Source organism: Homo sapiens, chromosome 2 (assembly GCF_000001405.40).
Source record: "Homo sapiens chromosome 2, GRCh38.p14 Primary Assembly".
Lineage (NCBI taxonomy): Eukaryota > Metazoa > Chordata > Mammalia > Primates > Hominidae > Homo > Homo sapiens.
In genome coordinates this window covers 235,905,474-235,923,182 of record NC_000002.12, presented here as the reverse complement: position 1 = coordinate 235,923,182, position 17,709 = coordinate 235,905,474, and the positions used below count along the sequence as shown (strand labels likewise).

General features: G+C 42.5%; 1 protein-coding gene across 4 annotated transcripts in view, besides 2 other annotated features; it reads right to left on the bottom strand.

Annotated features, from left to right (window-relative positions):
- AGAP1 (ArfGAP with GTPase domain, ankyrin repeat and PH domain 1) overlaps positions 1-17,709 on the bottom strand; it is a 637,751-nt gene that overhangs the window by 208,611 nt on the left and 411,431 nt on the right. For all 4 annotated transcript variants that reach the window (NM_001037131.3, NM_014914.5, NM_001436125.1 and 1 more), the window contains exon 11: positions 14,277-14,445. In NM_001037131.3, coding sequence (NP_001032208.1) covers positions 14,277-14,445 — 169 coding nt within the window. The remainder of the gene's footprint in view (positions 1-14,276; positions 14,446-17,709) is intronic.
- Positions 16,530-17,030: an enhancer, noted in NCBI's record as "H3K4me1 hESC enhancer chr2:236814797-236815297 (GRCh37/hg19 assembly coordinates)". NCBI's record gives its function as "activates a minimal SCP1, AML or CMV promoter by ChIP-STARR-seq in primed H9 embryonic stem cells {active_cell/tissue: H9 hESC(primed)}" and the evidence as "EXISTENCE:reporter gene assay evidence [ECO:0000049][PMID:30033119]".
- Positions 17,031-17,531: an enhancer, noted in NCBI's record as "H3K4me1 hESC enhancer chr2:236814296-236814796 (GRCh37/hg19 assembly coordinates)". NCBI's record gives its function as "activates a minimal SCP1, AML or CMV promoter by ChIP-STARR-seq in primed H9 embryonic stem cells {active_cell/tissue: H9 hESC(primed)}" and the evidence as "EXISTENCE:reporter gene assay evidence [ECO:0000049][PMID:30033119]".

The window sequence follows — 17,709 nt, the reverse complement described above, 5'->3', positions numbered from 1 at the left end:
CCCCCAAATATTATTTGCGTTACCATGAAATACATGACTGACGACATGGCCCATTCTGAACTCAGAAAGAGTGTTTCCTCAAATACCCCATCTACGGATCAGCTGGTACTCGCCCCGATTAGCAGGGGGTGACTGCATTACCATGCTAATCCATGTCCTCGCTGCGCCACTTCCTTGATATGGATATGTGTGTGTGCTTACTGAGCTGCCTTGATTAGTGCAAGCTTCCATGTGTCAAAAGCGCCAGATTCTTTCCAAAGAATAATTTTAGCTGTACTTATATCCCTAAAGTGGAAGAGTTGATTTGAAAAGGTACTTACCTCCACCATATGCTATTTTTCTTTACACAATTTGCATTTCAAAGTGAATATGGCATTTATATCTGAATGAATATCAGTATGTTGCCTGAACTGATCTCAAATGAGCATGAAAAAGATGCTGGTTTTCTATTGAACAAGAATGTTTTCATCCACCAAATGACATCAAAGACAGAATCCCTCTTTTAAGCTATTAGCTTATTACATTAAAAATAGCCTGTTCTGATTTTTAAAAATATACTCTGAAATGATGGCTTTTCATAGCATTCAAATAAAGATTCATCAACAAATCTTTACAATAACAATAACAAAATACAAAAGTTCATTCCCTGCGCCTTCCAATTTTGGTCTGTCTTTACAAATAGGACTTAACTTCACCAAAGCATTTAACTAGGAAAATAATAGCTGGCATTTGACTTATTGGTTAAGTAAGCCTGAAAAGAGGAGCAACTCTTGGTGATGGCGATAGGAACTTTCATGTACATAGAAAGAGGGCGGGGAAAAAGCCAAAAAGGATTCTATGAGCACTTGAGTGTAAAACAGACGTTTATTCCCACTGCAGAATTGTATACCTTCTATTTTAACAAATCCTAATTACAGGAATATGATTGACAAGAATTCACCCTTCCCCTATGGAGCCTTCACCCTTAGAAACATCCAGGGACGGCTTTCTTCGGTCCAATCTCATTCACAGGCAGCTTCAAATGCTGTAAAAACTCAGCGTGAGCGGCTACCTTGCAAACCCTACAGCTGCACCACGCCCGTTGTGCGCATGTGTGGGAAAACCGGGTTCCCTGGAATCACAACTGGATGAAGGAGGCGACGTTAACAGTCACATCACTTCAAACTAGGCCTTCGCCATCTGTTCTGTCCTCTAATTACAAACCCAAAAAGAACAGAATTCACAACACTACCATAAAAAGTGAGACACACGATTTAAGGCCTGTGAATGGGGCCCATTCGCTCCTGTATTTGCATTGGAGATCTGCCTTGCTTTTGGCAAGTGGAATTTCAGGCTGAGAGGATTTTTTTTCCAAGGACACATTCAGTATCTTATAAGATGTAGGCATTCGGGACTCTGCATCCTGTGATACTTGTTTTGTAAAAGAGTACAATTCAACATATCTACTAGGAAGACACAAATCTGGTGTTTCTTGATACCTTTTGTTTAGTTAAGAGATTTTCCATGTTATGTTTATCAAGACAGAGTACAGAGTTCAGACCTAGTCACAATGACAGATGTAATTACTACTAAATACAGCAACGTGGCCAGGCTTAGGATTCCACATCCTGGAATTACACAGCTCTTTCCTACAACGTAGAAACAGCTCATTGTATGCTGCTTTCTCCCTGTTCTAAATTATGATGTCAAGGAAAAAAATAATGGGGGCCTATTTTGTTGTACTGTTAAAATATACTTGGCAAAAGTACAGATATACAAATAATGTAAACTAAATCCACCAAAATCTCGTCTAACAGATCAATTTTTTATTGAACATATGCATACATTGTTCTTGGTTATGGCCACAGAAAAGATATAACTTTATACACTTCTTTAATATGATTTCCTAACCATTTTCCCCATGTTGTTATGTAATCTTCATAATTTTAGATATGTAACATTATTGATTTAATGTAGATAATTTATATCACCATTTTTCTACTTCTGGATAGTTTTGGTTGTTTCCAATTTCTGGCTATAAACAACACTGCAAAGGACATCTTCTACTTTTGAATTTTCCTTAGAAGAAATTCTCAGCAGCGTTATTACTGGAACAAACAGCATAATATATCTTTCTGATTCATGATATATGTTGCTAATTAATTTTCTTAATGACCAGTAACTAAAAGAAGATGGAACCTGGGCATCTTTAAAGCAATTTAGTCCATAATTTCTAAGTGGATAATAATAATAATGAAGAAATGGTGATAATGATAACAGTATGCCCCATGTGGTTAATATAATGATCAAATTATGTAAAGCACTCTGTAAACTGTAAAACCTCTGCAGATATCAGTTATTAATCTCATCAACAGTGGGTTTTCCTATCTCTACAGTTTTTTAGCAAAAGCTTAAAATGGTGATGTTGCTAATCTTGTTTGTCTTTAAAATCTAAAATGTCTGAATATTTTCCTTATGTTTCCCTTGTAATGGTGTCTCTTCATGTATGAACTGTGCATGCCATCTGCCTCCTGTTTGCTTTAGTGCTGTAGTTGGCATCACTTTGCTTGAGCTCATTCATTCCCTCTGTGAGTACTTACTGAACACCCACCATCAACTAGTGAAGTGCTTGGTGCTGTGGAGAACTCCACGGCACCCCCCATCTTCCAGCATCCCAAAGGTCTGATGATCAGAGCGATGCCAATGTTGTCAGAGGTACAGTTTACAAAAGAAAGGAAGGAGAGAAAAAAAACAACAACCCTGCGCTTGGGGCACCATGCGCATGCAGCGGATGAAGGACATGGCCTGACAGCAGGTGACAGTGAGCTGGAGCGCCAGAGTCATCCCTTCCCTCCCATCCCTGGGTTACTGCTCCATGTTGGGAGTGGATATCATGTGGCAATTGGTACAATTTAAGACAAAATATTTACCATGTCAGACGCTAAGTTCTCATTTAAGTAATTATATTTAGAAATAAGTGTAAGTATTTATTCTAAAGACAAAGTTGCTTTCTCCAGCCACACAGTTCTACATAACAGAAAAAAGAATATACAGAATCCAGACCCAGTTGCAATGACAAATTTAACGACTACTAAATACATCAACGTGGCCAAGCAGAATTCAACATCCTAGAATTAGACGGTTCGTCGTCACTTCCTAAAACGTGGAGTCTTATTCCGACCTTTGCAAAACAATGTGTGCCATTCTCATTTTGCCATTTTTATCTGCTGAAGGAACACGTGCTGCTCCAGATTCCGACAGTGTTTATGGAGAGCGCCATCGTACGGCTTGTCTTGGCCACAATCCATCTCCTGGTATGGGTTATATGGACAAGCTGATGCAACAGCGAGGATGAGGGGTGTAAGCATTGTGAAGACGGAGAAGAAAAGAATTTTTCTTTGTTTGGTGTCTTCCTTTGCCATGAATAACGGTTCCATCTTTACAATATTCTTTCTCCTTTATATGATAAATGCAACAGGTGTGTGTGTGTGTGTTTTTAACATGAAATTCATTTTCATTTGACAACACTGTTTTGAGGGGAGCGTTCCCCGGTCATCTCTGAATTTTACAGTCCCCTTCCAGGAGCAGGTGGCCCCACAGCTCTATCCTGAGAAGTATTCACTACTACTTCTTTCTCTGCTTTCCAGTTCTTACAAAATGATCTCACAACTGAATCCAGCAATGACACAGGGAAGACAAAGCACCAAGGAGTACCCCGGGCTCACAAGTCTGATAACATGAGGCGGGTTTTACAGGTTTGCTGGTTGGGATGTTACGGGGTTTGACCACTCCCTAGAAATACTCCAGAAACGCAAACGTTCACTATATGAGTGGTAACTCAAAACAATGGGCCACAAGGTTTCGAGATGGAAAAATGTCACGATTACTTCGAAAAACTCTCCTCTGCCAGTGTGGGAAAGGACTGCAGGAAGCAGGGAAGCCACGGACTCAACTCTAGCCTGGAAGAACCAGAAGCCCTTTCCCAAGGCCTCGGTTCTCACTGGCCCCCGGGGCTGGCAGCTGGCTCCCTGGTGGAGGGGGCGCGGGTAATTCACAGAGGCTCTTCCGGGCACCTCCTCTTTCCCACAGCTGACCCTGCAGACCACTTCGCTGGTCTCGGAAGCATCAGTTCAGCAGCTGAAACACTATTCCTCCCTGCCCACACACATTTTTGAGAGAAAAAAAGTGTTTGAAGCACCTTTTATTTACTTGTAGGCACACCTGTTACCACATCCAACTCAAGGTCCTGGCCATCCCCTGATATGTCTCAGCTGAAATCATCAGGAATCAAGTTGCTTTAGTTGGTTCTTTCAGAAAAGAACACTCCACTTAGAGTTCAAATAATTGAAGCTATCCTTAATTTAGGAAGTACAATACTTACTTCTGAATTACACACCAATGCTCAGGACCACAGAGAGCTACTACAGGGGAACATTATCTGCAGGAAAGCAACTAATCTCCTCAACATCCATCACTTACATTTAACATGATGGGTAACATGCAGGAATATATACCTAATGAGAAAATAATTGCTAGGTCACAAAACTAAGAGAGGATAACAAAGAAAGAGAAGTAACAGTGTATGCCTCAAAGAGTTTACAATTTAATGATGGAAACAATACCACACGAATTTGCCTAAACCTCAGTGGGAGCAATGTATAAACACGGAAACAACTAATAGTGAGAACGCATTGCTCATAAAAGCTGAAGATGCTGCAATTCTTAAAAAGAACTAAGATGAACTTTAGTGTCCTCTAATGTCAGATTTAGCTAACTTTCTGATGTCTGAGAAGCCTCACAAAACATTAACATTTTCCCTAAAAATTGTCAAATAGACATTAAAACCAATTCCAACAAAACCTGGTTTATGAAAGCAGATATCACATGCTACTGATATTGAGGTTTTATTTCAGAAAAATAATTCTCGACCAGTAAGGCTTCCATTTGCAAATGGTCTACCAAGGTGCTAGAAGGGTACTTAGCAGAAGCTTCCAATTTATATGTTGTAACCAAGATCCAATGTGTGGAAAACTCCCGAGTGACCTTGGTCGACATGAGTGGGAAGCAAGGATCTGTGTTCCACCAAGCCTTGGCCACACCGCATGCCGGCAGGGGACAGGTGTGGACTGACACTGCTCATCCAGGGCCCACAACAGACTCCGGACTCCAGAGTTATTATAATGTTTTCTAGACCGTTTGAAACTAAACAAAGAAAAACTTTCTTTCCATGAGACAACAACGGGTCTAGTTTTGATGTCACGTTATTTTTTTTTAATAGCTATTACCACTGAAACAGCAGCTTCGCGACTCCGCGTCTGCAGTGTGAGCAGTTTTGATAAACAGCCTCTGCGGGCCACACAACGGGGATAATGTATCCTTAAGTACCGCCAATGAGCTGCCATTCTGCACAGCCAATTACTTCTGTGCGTCTGTCACTCAAAGGAAAAATGACTGAGCCCATTAGATCAAACCTTTGTCACTGTTCCTAATGCACTCTTAGGCCTCATTAATCTCCGGGAGCAGCAACAGAGCCGCCGGTGCCTCATTGCCTCCCCCGAACAGGACCACGTGAAGCCTCTCATCTCTCCCCCAAGTGCACCACGTTAATCAAGCTCTCCTTATTACCCCGGTCCCTGTCACGGCGGAGAGCGCTCCCTCTTAAATGCTCTCATTATGACCCATCTTTAGAGCCGGCTAAGTGGAAAAAAAGAGAGGGAGAGAGGGAGAAAGAGGACGAGAGAGAAAGAGGAGAGGAAAGAGCAAGTCCGATCACATTAATATTCATGACAATAATTAGTATTCTAGGTCACTGAATATTCATGCTATTAGTTTGGTTTTTTATGGGTTTGCTGGATGTCCTGATTGCTGAAGTGTGGAGAAAACAGCATGGTTGAGACTTTAGATGTCAACGGCAGTTCAATACTCAAAACACATTTGCTGTCCCCGCCTCCCCCACCTCCCCTGGAAAATCAGCTTCAACCCTCCTGAAGGCTTTAATATTTCGAAACCGCTGGGGGCCTCAAGTAGGGAAGGGGGGGATGTAGAGGAGAAGGGGAAAGGATTCCTTTGACAAAGGTCTAAGCATCAATCTGGTTAGGATAAAAACATATCCATAGTTGCAAAAACCCAACAAAGACACACTTTAGAGACAAGAAGGTATCTGTCATCCTAGAACAAAAATGTCACAACCAGGAGTTACAGAATAAAGTGACCACAGGACACAGAACTGGAGCAGACAGCTCCATGGACATCCATGAAAGTCCAGAAGAGCATTTCTTCTGTCTGCCCCCTTGCTGCCATGATAGTGGGATGCTGTCTGTTGGGGAGCATGGGTTTGTGAAGTCTAAGCCCTATGTCCATTATGTCCACTCAAAGGCTATGTCAATGCTTTATTGTATTTGAAAAATTAATTCAAGAACATAATTTCTTTCCCCTCTTCCTTGCTTTTGGCATAACCATGATGATGAATTAATGATGTAATTCTGTGAAGTCAGCATCGGCCAAGCTTTTCAAAGGAATGCCGTGTGTTCTTCTCCATAGAACAGAGGTGGACATCATTTCCCCATTTTAAAAACAAGGAAGCTGGGGTTTAGTGAGACAACTTCAGAAGGGTCTGAGACAGGAGAAATGGGATTCTATTCAGTGATTTGGACTCCGAAACCCTTGCTCTTGGACATTATGTTTTCCTGCTCTCTACTTAAATGTGAAAATAACTGTGGAAGCTAATACAACTCTGCATTGTTACATGTGGATACAGCTTCACCAAACTAGGCTGGCCAAACATTCATGTCAGAAAATACCTTGACGTTTTACCTCCTTCTCTGGACCTATACCTGAAATTCAAGTTGGGAAGATTCTCCAAAATGTGGCTTCTGGTGGATCCTCATTAGAATGGCAACTTAAGACTATGTAAGTTCCAGGCCAAAAGAATGGAAGTGGATAATGGCCATGCACATCTTGAGAAGCCAGTGACCTTGAATGAGGAAGGGAAGGTTTAACCAGGCCTGAATATCTTTTGGATTCTTCTTTTTTTTTCTGGAGTAGACCCTTCAGTAATTTTTTCAAAACCCTTTAAGACAGAGATGTTGTATAACCCTGTAGGTTGTCTAAAGATGTCTTTTTTTTCTATCTTCATTTGATTAGTAGTCGTCTTTGCATAGGCTTCTAGGTTCAGAATTATTTGTCCTTAGGAGGGAATATTTCCATTATATTTAAGAATGCATGTTGCTCTTGAGAAGTCTACAGTCAGATTTCTCTTCTTTTGTAGGTAACCTTGTTGTTCTCCTATTTTTGGTGTGTTTTAAGATTTTATTTGTATTTTTGCAGAGCCTCCTCTCCCATCCAACTTGATACTTGACTCTTCAGATATCCTTACTTGCTTCTAGCATATATTCTTCTGTTACATCTTTGACTACCAACATGTCTTTAGCCACGTTCTTTACAGTATTTATCTAATGAATTTTTTATTTTCACAATCTTTATTCATAAAACTTTTTCTCCTATAGTATTTTCACATACTCTTTATTTTTTTGACACAGGCCTCACTCTGTTGCCCAGGCTGGAGTACAGTGGCATGATCATGGCTCACTGCAGCCTTGACCTCTTGGGCTCAAGCTATTCTCCCACCTCAGTCTCCCCTGGGACCACAGGCACTCGCCACTATGCCCAGCTAAATTTTTGCATTTTTTGTAAAGACAGGGTTTCACCATGTTGCCTAGATTAATCGGTCTTGAACTCTTGGGCTCAGGGGATCTGCCTGCCTCAGCCTCTCAAAGTGCTGGGATTACAGGCATGAGCCACTGCGCTGGGCCAAACACGTGCTCTCTGTTTGCCTCATTTTATGAGTATCATTAATAACTAACGTATTAAATCCTTCTGTTGATAGGAGTTATAATTTCCTTTTAAATTCCCTTTCACTAAAATGTCACTCTTACTAAGATCAGTTATCCTTCACATTTTACTGTTGGTTCCCACAAACACCTTCGTTGTCCATTATCTATGAATAAGAGCATGTGGGTTGATGAGGCAGATGAAGGGGTTTTCTCTGCAGCCTTGGCCAACCAGAAGGCTGGTTGTGGGCTCTGAGCAGGTGTATGGCCCATAATGACTGGCGGGTTTCATTTAGACCTACCGTGTGGGGGGCTGTGAGCTGGCCGGTGCACTTCATACCACCTACGGTCAGGGCTGCCTTGCCTCTCCATTTCTTTCTCTTCTTCTGAGACTGAGGATGTTTGAGTTTCACAATCATCTCTGTTTCCCTTTTTTGAGCACCAGCATCCACATCAAAAGGTTCTGCTCTCCCTAGGCATGCTGCCTGTTCCGATGCATGCTCTCCTGGGGGTGTTGGTGGCAGGGACAACACTGGCCAGCTCTCCTTGCTTTCGTCGCACAGCCTGCTGCTGTGCCCCAGCCCACTCCTGAACTCCACGACCGCCACAAGGAACCCAGAGCCACCCCATCACCATTGCAGCTCCTCTGCTCTCCTCAATGCATGAGCCCCAGAGGGTGGCCTGAGCCCAGTCATCAGCAGTGCACAAGGCAGCTGCTCTGACAGTGCGTGTTTCTTCCTCTCTCCCAAGCCCATGGCAAAAACTGACATGAAGATGACCACATTTCCAGCATTTTAAAGTGTGAAATGTAGTCACTATTTCAATACAGGCAAATCACTTCCCAAATGCTAGGAATACCCCACCCCCGAGCCCCTCCAGGTATTTTCTATTCAATTGCCCCATATGGCCCTTCAGCACTTATCATTCCTTACAATGATCTTACTTGTGTGTTTATCTTTGGACTCCTCCACCCCCACTTGAGTGTAAGGCTCCTGGAGAGACGTCTTGTCCTCCCCCCACCCCAATATCCAGAGCATTAATCAAGGGTGGGCATACAGCAGACTCAGTAACAATGGAGACGAATGGCACAGGAGGCAACACAATCCAGTCTCTGTATCAGTAAACTGGTGGCACACAGTTAGGCATTATAGTATTTGAAATATGGAATGCATTATGACTGTGTGCTAGAGAATCAACAGAAACATCCAGTAGCTATTCCAACTAACAAGAGTTCAGCAAGATGGCTGAATAATAGAAAACACAAAAATTAGGAGTTTTATTTCTGACCAATTAGATGACATAATAGACCCCGCCTCTCTAAAAAGGATTAGCTTCACAATGCACCAAAAATTATAAACAGAATAGATTAACAAGACATGTCCAGCAGCTAAATAAAAAAAAAAAATGCTGAACTTTGCTGGAGGCTATAATACAAATTTGAATAAACTGGGAAAGAACAGTGTTCCACGATAAGGAACTCCACACAGTAAAGATGCCACTTCCTCCACAATTCATAGCTTAAAAGCAATGCCAGTTAAAAGCCATGATAGAATTATTTTTATTATTTTATTTACGTGCCCGTATCACAGCCTCGGGAGGTCCTGATGTCATGTGCACCAATGAGGGGATTATTTTTATCAAGGAGGAGAAGGTTTCAAGTTACTCTTTAGTTCATTTGAGGAAAAATAAGCAGGCAGCAGTAGCCAAGAAAAACTGGAAGATAAAAGAGAAATATTCAACTGTGTTATACTACCAGATACAAACGGAGTCATACATCTAAGACACTGTGGTAAATCTACATAAGGTAAGACAATGCAGGGACACCAGGTCTCGGAACACATCTGAGAGGCCAGAAACACAGCCCATTTGATGAAGTGATTGAGTTCTACAACAAAGGCAACATATGGAATTAATAGGGAAAGAAAAAAAATTCAACAAAGAGAAAAACGACAGTTGATTATTTATTTGAATAAAAAATTCAATTAGATTTCTATCACACACAATAGACACAAACAAATTAAAGGTGGATTAGGGGCTAAATACATGCATATACATGTATACACACACATACACACAGATATATATGCATATACATATATTCACACACATAAACACATACATATATTTTTTAAGGGAAAAAAACAATAAAATTAAAACTTAGAAGTATATATATGTAAACTGTGATCTGGTTTCAAGATTATGAAAGGTTTTCTAAATAGCTTAAAGTAGAAATCACAACAGTAAAAGATAATCTGATTATAAATAAAAAAGAGGGAAAACCTTTTTATGTAAAGAAGACCATAAAATTTAAAAGGCAAATAATAAACTGGGGAAATACCTGCAAAATATATTCATATCCTAAATATACAAGGAGTTCTCAGATATCAATAAGAAAAAGAACCTAGTGCAAAAATGGGCAAAGGATACACCTAAACAATTAATTACAACGTAAGAAACACATACACCTAATACATGTGAGCTGTTCAACTTCATTACCGATTAAAGAAATCCAAATAAACAAAACATGAGGCATTTTTATCGCTCATCAGATTAGCATAAATTCTAACAATAATATTAATAGCATTAGCAAGTGTGTGAGGTGAAACTGGTGATGGCTATGGATGGGAAGAGTTTTCATGTAAAACCTTTTAGAAGTTAATTTGGAAATGTGTATCAAGAACCCTGTAAATGGTTATACCAACCGAATGAATCATTCCATATATGGACAGTTATTCCAAAGCAATAATAAGTGTTAACCACAAAGATTTAGGCTCATACATATATCAGGTCTATGTGAATGCAAGTTACGGGAAGAGAAGGCATAAAATGTTGATCTAATTCAATCGCATTAAGAAAATGAATACAAAAATGAAAATACAAAGAAAGAAAACCCTCCAGTTCACCCAGAACTGAGACAAAACAAATGAGTCAAGAGTGAAGAATAAGGTTAAGTATTCAATTTTTTGGCAAAAACAGCTCTCTAATACCTATTTTTAGCTGGAAGTCCCGTCTCTTAAATGTAGCCTCAATTTATTTCAGATTGAATTTGCTGTGTTGGAATTCCTCAGGTGAGAGGACATTTTGTGAATGATGATTTTAGCACAAGAAACTCAATTTTCAAAGAGTATAAAAACTCAAATCCCCAAATGCTTTAATTTCTTAAGCAAGAAAGAACGTATCACTTTACAGATTCATGTTCATGTTTAGAGAAGGTGAATGCAAATTAAAATTTCCCAAGATTTTAATGAAGCTGCTTCCTCTTACAGAAGTGCCTCCGCCCATGGCTTATTCTCAGAACCCAAGAATGAAGCTGAGCAATAAACAGGGAGCTGCTATCTGAGATCTGCGCCCTCCTGCCGCACACCAGCTGATGACTTCACCCGCATGCTTGGTCAGGGTGCCACTTCCCTTAGCACTGCTGTGGCCGTGAGGCACTTTCTTCTTCCCAAAGTGGCAACGCCTCTGTGCTAAGGTCATACCTCCACTTCTCTATCCCTAGTTGGAATCCAGAGAAGAGGGAAAGTCAGCCAGGCCCCTGTGTGGGATTAACCTGTTTGAGGGTTGCGGAGATGTCCTGTTACACACTGAGGGCTGTGACCATGGAAAAGGGATTTCAATCTTGTCGCAACCCTCCCATTTGCCCAACAGGGGCTCTTAAAGAGAATGAAACTGGGCAATGGGAAATGCCTTCCAAGGACACACAACTCACTCCCTCAAAGAGAAAGGCCCATGCCACAGCCGACTCCATCAGATATGGTACGGTTTATAGGGCCTTTGTATTATCTACTTAAAATCACACATTAGTGTTTCCCTTAGGACAACAGTGGCATTTGGCTCCAAGGAACATAAATCTCAAGATTAGGAAGTTCAAAATCCTACTTTTACATAGTGAACGCTTCTTCACAGAATTGGTGCCCTTCCTTCATATCTGTGTGCCTGGCAAATTCCTATCCTTTATTCAAACTCAGCAGGTAGCCCCCATCCCTTGAAGCCTGGCCTACCTCCTGGGGAGCCGACCGCAGCATCACTGGGTCTCCAAGCCCTGCCCTTTACACAGCCCTCCTGGGGCCTGTGGCTCCGTGTGGCCTCCATCTACTTGTCTTTCTCCCCAACAACAGGGGAGATTCCTGAAGGCGGGAACTGTGACTCAGGCACACGTTAGAAACTCCACAAATGGCATGATTTAGCCATTCCACAATGTATACATAATTCAAAACACCATGTTACAAAGATCAATAAATTTTTATTTAAGTTAAATTAATTCTATTTAATACATTTTTATCAATTTAAAATTATAAAAATGAAACTCAATAAATGCTTTTACTTATGTAACTAGATGACTAGATGTGATGGTCAGAAGGGAGGTGGAAATGGAAGAATTCTAGAGGTTAGGGACTCCGTATCTGCAGTGCGCACAACTTCTGGCACAAAATAGGTGCTTGATAGATTTTTTTTTTTTTGAGACGGAGTCTCACTCTGTCGCGCAGGCTGGAGTGCAGTGGTGCGATCTCGGCTCACTGCACTCCACCTCCTGGGTTTAAGCGATTCCCCTGCCTTAGCCTCCTGAGTAGCTGGAATTACAGGCGCACATCTCCACACCCAGCTAATTTTGTATTTTTAGTAGAGATGGGGTTTCACCATGTTGGACAGGCTGGTCTTGAACTTCTGACCTCAGGTGATTCACCCATTTTGGCCTCCCAAAGTGCTGGGGTTACAGGCGTGAGCCACTGCACCTGGCCTATAGATATTTTTTGAATAAATGCATGAGTTTATGTAACGTACTAATGTAATAAAGCCTTCAGCATTTTACTCACTACGGATTGTTTTTTCTTTCTTGTGCCCTTCTTTTCTCTCTTCCCACCCCATAGTTAGCACACCGCTCTAATAAGAAAAATCTCACGGATGTCTTGGAAGAAAGGTCAGCAGGTCATAGAAGCCCCTGGAAAAATACTGTTCTCACTTTTTTGGGAGGCACTAAAGACTCCTTTAGCATAAAGCCAGTTTTAACTTTGATTAGAAACAACAGCTTGTGTTTGTATCCAGCTTTCCCAGCACTTTCATGTTGTCTCCTCTGACACCGCCCCCCTGCAACACAGGCAGGCCAGGCAAGAGCACCCCAATGTGGTGGGAAGGAACCAGCTCAGTGACTGCCTAACACTATGCAGCGGAGCCCAGGATGGTGGACCCAAATTTGAACTCCTCTGTACCATCTTGCTCTCACCTACCAGTGTCGTTCATGCCTCAGAACCAGGCAGTCAGCACCATCCCTCTTTAAAAGCACTTGATGTTTCAGAAGAGGAAAGTGCAGCATCAAAGACCAGAAACTCTCATAGGAGAGAAATCTGTTTTTTTTTTTGAGATAGAGTCTCGCTGTCACCCAGGCTGGAGTGCAGTGGCGCAATCATGGCTCACTGCAACCTCTGCCTCCTGGGTTCAAGCGATTCTCCTGCCTCAGCCTCCCAAGTAGCTGAGATTACAGGCACCTGCTACCACGCCCGGCTAATTTTTGTATTTTTAGTAGAGACGGGGTTTCACCAGGTTGGCCAGGCTGGTCTCGAACTCCTGACCTCAGGCGATCCACCCGCCTCAGCCTCCCAAAGTGCTGGGATTATAGGTGTGAGCCACTGCGCCTAGCCAGAAATCTGTTTTAAGAAGACTGGATGTAGGTGGGAGAGAAGAAAGTTCTGGACTTTCTGCAGGAGAAAATGCAAATTCTTGAAGGGATGTCCCCATGTTGAAGGAGCCTGACTCTGTGTGTGTGTTTATGGGAGGGCTCAAGAGGATCTTCTCCTTATCTCTGATGAGCAGACATGGGAAGGTTCATGACACAGGGCAATTATTTGCAAAAACGTAAATAAAATGAACAATGTCATTTTGGATGGCTTGCAACTGGGCACAGAGGCCAGGAATTTCTAAACACATCAACATTTGAGAAAATACAGCTTTCTCTGATCCTGAATGAAAAAAAATCTCCTTTAAAAGAGAATACAGAGAACTAAAGTTGCATTAAAGAATGGCAGATAATTAAAATATAACAACACAGAATTTACATTTTATATAGGTCAAATGGTTTCCTCTGAATCTTGCTCCGAATGGTTTTTCCACTTTCATACATACAGTTATCAGAAATGAGTTAATCTTTGACACTTTAACGTTAATTCACGTTTTTCAGAAGGATCTTAAAAACCCAGTTCACATGTTAACTTCACTTTCCACTATGCAGCCCTGGAAAGGCCTAGATGCATGGTTTTTGCAGCTGTGACTCAAAGCACCATTTGCTCGCTGGCATTTGCGGAACTGAAAGTTTAAAGGAAATGATCAGCCACAGAAGTGATCAGGTTTCTAAACCTTAATCTGTAATGTGATAGTTACTGTCTCCACTTAACCTAGGAGTCCAACATTATCCTCGAGCCTGGACCACCTGTTGCTGTTGAACTTGATTTGTTAGTGCATTTGCTGTAAGCTTACCTGAATTGGGTGAGATGTGTAAACTGCTCATGTCCTTGGATAGGCCATTGGTTTTAGGGCTGGAGATGGGTGCGCAGGCTGACGTGGCTCGGGGTGGCCTCTTCCCTGGGACTTTCACAGTGGTTCTCAGAAGGTCAATCTCCTTACCATGAACATTCTGCATGTAATCCTGTTGAAAATGTTAAACATCCAAGAGAGATAAAAAAAAAAAAAAGACCTTTTACAACCTAGAACAAAAGGGTCTATCAGACGTCATGAGTTAAAACCCTATGACCCTTCCACTGTGGAAAGTACTTTAAAAATCATGAGATTTTTATCTATAGAGTACTGGTAACATCATTATTATATTTAAATCAGAGTTTTGCTTCTGTGTCCTGAACTAATCCAGGACCTAGAGATGTAAGGAGAGACACAGCAGGTGCCTCCTTCAAGGGTCATTAGGAAGTAAGTCTACACACAAAATCTGATTTTTTGAACTCTTGCTTATCAGAGGGTACATTAGGCTCCTCCTATAAATTCCAAGTAAAATTCCATGGAGTAGGAAACCATTTTGTAATAACCTTTCTGTCTCAGATGGGAATATCATTAAAATCTAGATAAGACTGAAGCTCTCTGGTGAAAAATCAGGTGAAAACTGGAAGTAAAAAGGTCAACTGTTGTGCTAAGAACCAGGAAGATGTCCAAGGGGTATCTGGCTTTCTAGGCCTTGGAAGCAAATGACCAGCAGCAATCAGAGAACTACAGGGAAGCCTCGGTGGACAGTGACTGCTCTCTGGCAGCTCACTTAACTCACTGTGGAGTCAAACACTACCTGGAAACTGGCTGATGGGCAGGGAACGGGGAAGGTGAACAAGCAACTGAGAGCCGGGGGATGGGCCTGCTGGCCAGTGAGTTACTGATCCTTTAGTGCAGCATCATCATCACTCATTATTATTATTGTTATTATTATTATTTCTGGTAATGAGACTCCCTGTCTGCAAACACAGTATCTTAAGCATTCTGGACACATATTACTTGATATCACACGTTAAGAAAGAATATACACTCAGCCCTCTGTAACAATATAACAATTAAAAAAAATACAAATAAGAAAATATTGCATTTACATTGCATGAGGTATAAGTAATCTAGGGATGATTTAAGGTATACGGGAGAATGTGTGCAGGTTATATATAAATACTATGCTGTATTATATAAGGAACTTGAGCATCTGAGGATCTTGGTATTCTGGAGGGTCCTGGAGCCAATCCCCCATGAATACAGAGAAATGACTGTATTTGAAAATTACTCTTGGAAAAACAACATTTCAAGTGTTTTAAGACTATGCAGGAAGTGGGAATAAATATGCTCTTTCTTTGGCAGCATCTTGGTGAATTCCCTTTAGATGTGAAAACCAATAAATTTGTCTTTGTTAAAAGTAATTAAGTTCAGGTGACCATAATTCCATTTCATTTATTAATTTTTTTAGAGATGAGGTCTTGCTAGGTTGCCCAGGCTGGTATCCAACTCCTAGTCTCAAGTCACCCTCCCACCTCAGCCTCCCAAAGCACTGGGGTTACAGGCACAAGCCACCGTGCTCAGCCAACGTAATTTTAGAAGAACTGCCAAATAAACTCACATGCTGGATGCAAGGGACCGAGGCAGGGTGGAGAAGTGGGCTGCTGTCTTTTAACTGCCCAATGGCAGTTACCCGATGCAGAGAGATAGTTGGATCAAGTTCTAGAATCACTATGCAAGGGTCGGAAGCCTCTGTCTCAGGGACAAGGAAACTTGGCCAAGTGTATTGAGGAAGCTGCTGGGACACAGGGTAGGGTAGCAGAGAGGCCAAAGCGAGATCCCAGTGGCTTCCAGGAAACGGGCTGTCTACCTTTTTGTTTTGTTTTGTTTTTTGAGACAAGAGTCTCACTCTGTTGCCCAGGCTGGAGTGGAGTGGCATGAACTCAGCTCACTGTAACCTCTGCCTTCCGGATTCAAGAGATTCTCCTGCCTCAGTCTCCCGAGTAGCTGGGATGACAGGCAAGCAGTCCACCTTTTAATTGCAGGGCAACACCCACACTTGTGAAGGAGTCACGGGTTTATCAACAAGTAGATGTTTGCTGATAGAAGAAAAGGCACAACAAAAGCCACAAAGTACACAATTCCAGTTCAGGGGAAAGGAATGAAACTGTGGGTCCTCAGGGCAGAGGATGAGAAGAGCTGTTTTCTCCCTGCCCAACCATGGTCAGGTGGGTGAGCCTGGGGTGTGACAATGTAGACCTTCCCGCAACCAACATGACTTACAGGCTGCCACATGGAGTCAAACCAGACTCAAGGGAAAAGGGTGCAGGAATTCTCAACGGCAGGACGGGCGGGAGGAGAACCTCTTTACATGAGGGCACAGCCACACTGGCGGGGGACACTCTGGCAGATAAATACAGAACCCCAGCAGGCTCCCCTACATCAGCCCCAGAGGGACAAGATGTTTCAGGGTCCCTGGTGACCCCTGAGGACGGAAGTCTTGGTGCAGACAGAAAGCTCAAAACACCAGGGTCAGAACCAGGAGGAAGAACAATGGGCTGAAGACCACTGGAGAAAGGATCAGAAACTGTGCTACAGTGGGGCAAATTCAGAGGCAGGGGCAAGGCCGGGCATTCCCCGGCAAAGGACAGACAGGCTATCCAGGCAGAAAACCCTGGCACGCGTGCATCTCACATCAGCCCAGAGGCCGGGAGCAGAGGTGCCCGGCCACCCGAGGCTGGTGACTGGCCATTTCATTTTACAGGGTGGCTCAGGGAGGATGGCCTGACTCTCAGGGCAGGCTGGCTGGAGTCAGCCACAGCCCCCTTGGAGGAAAGCTGTCATGGTGGGTTCGGGTAACGGGAGGGTGGTATCTGGGCTGGGAACAACAAATCTGACTTCACCAGCCCCCGAAAGGGATTCCACTTGGAAGTTGAGATGCTGGACTCCACAAAACATAATCAACTTTGAGAGGATGTAGACCAAAGACAGAAAGAAAGTTACTATTGAATTAACTCTGTTAAACTAGATGGAAGGAAAGCTAGAGCTGGAAGCGGCACAGGAATTCTCAGGACTGCGCTGTGTTGAGGGTGACAAATGAAAAGCACATCAGGCGGGGCGCGGTGGCTCACGCCTGTAATCCCAGCACTCTGGGAGGCCGAGGAGAGTGGATCACTTGAGGTCAGGAGTTCAAGACCAGCCTAGCCAACACGGTGAAATGCCTGCTCTACTAAAAATACAAAATTAGCCAGGTGTGGTGGCGTGTGCTTGTAATCCCAGCTACTTGGGAGGCTAAGGCAGGAGAATCGCTTGAACCTGGGAGACAGAGATTGCAGGGAGCAGAGATCATGCCATTGCACTCCAGCCTAAGCGACAAGAGGGAAACTCTGTCTCAAAAAGAAAAGAAAAGAGAAAAGAAAGGAAAAGCACACCGTAG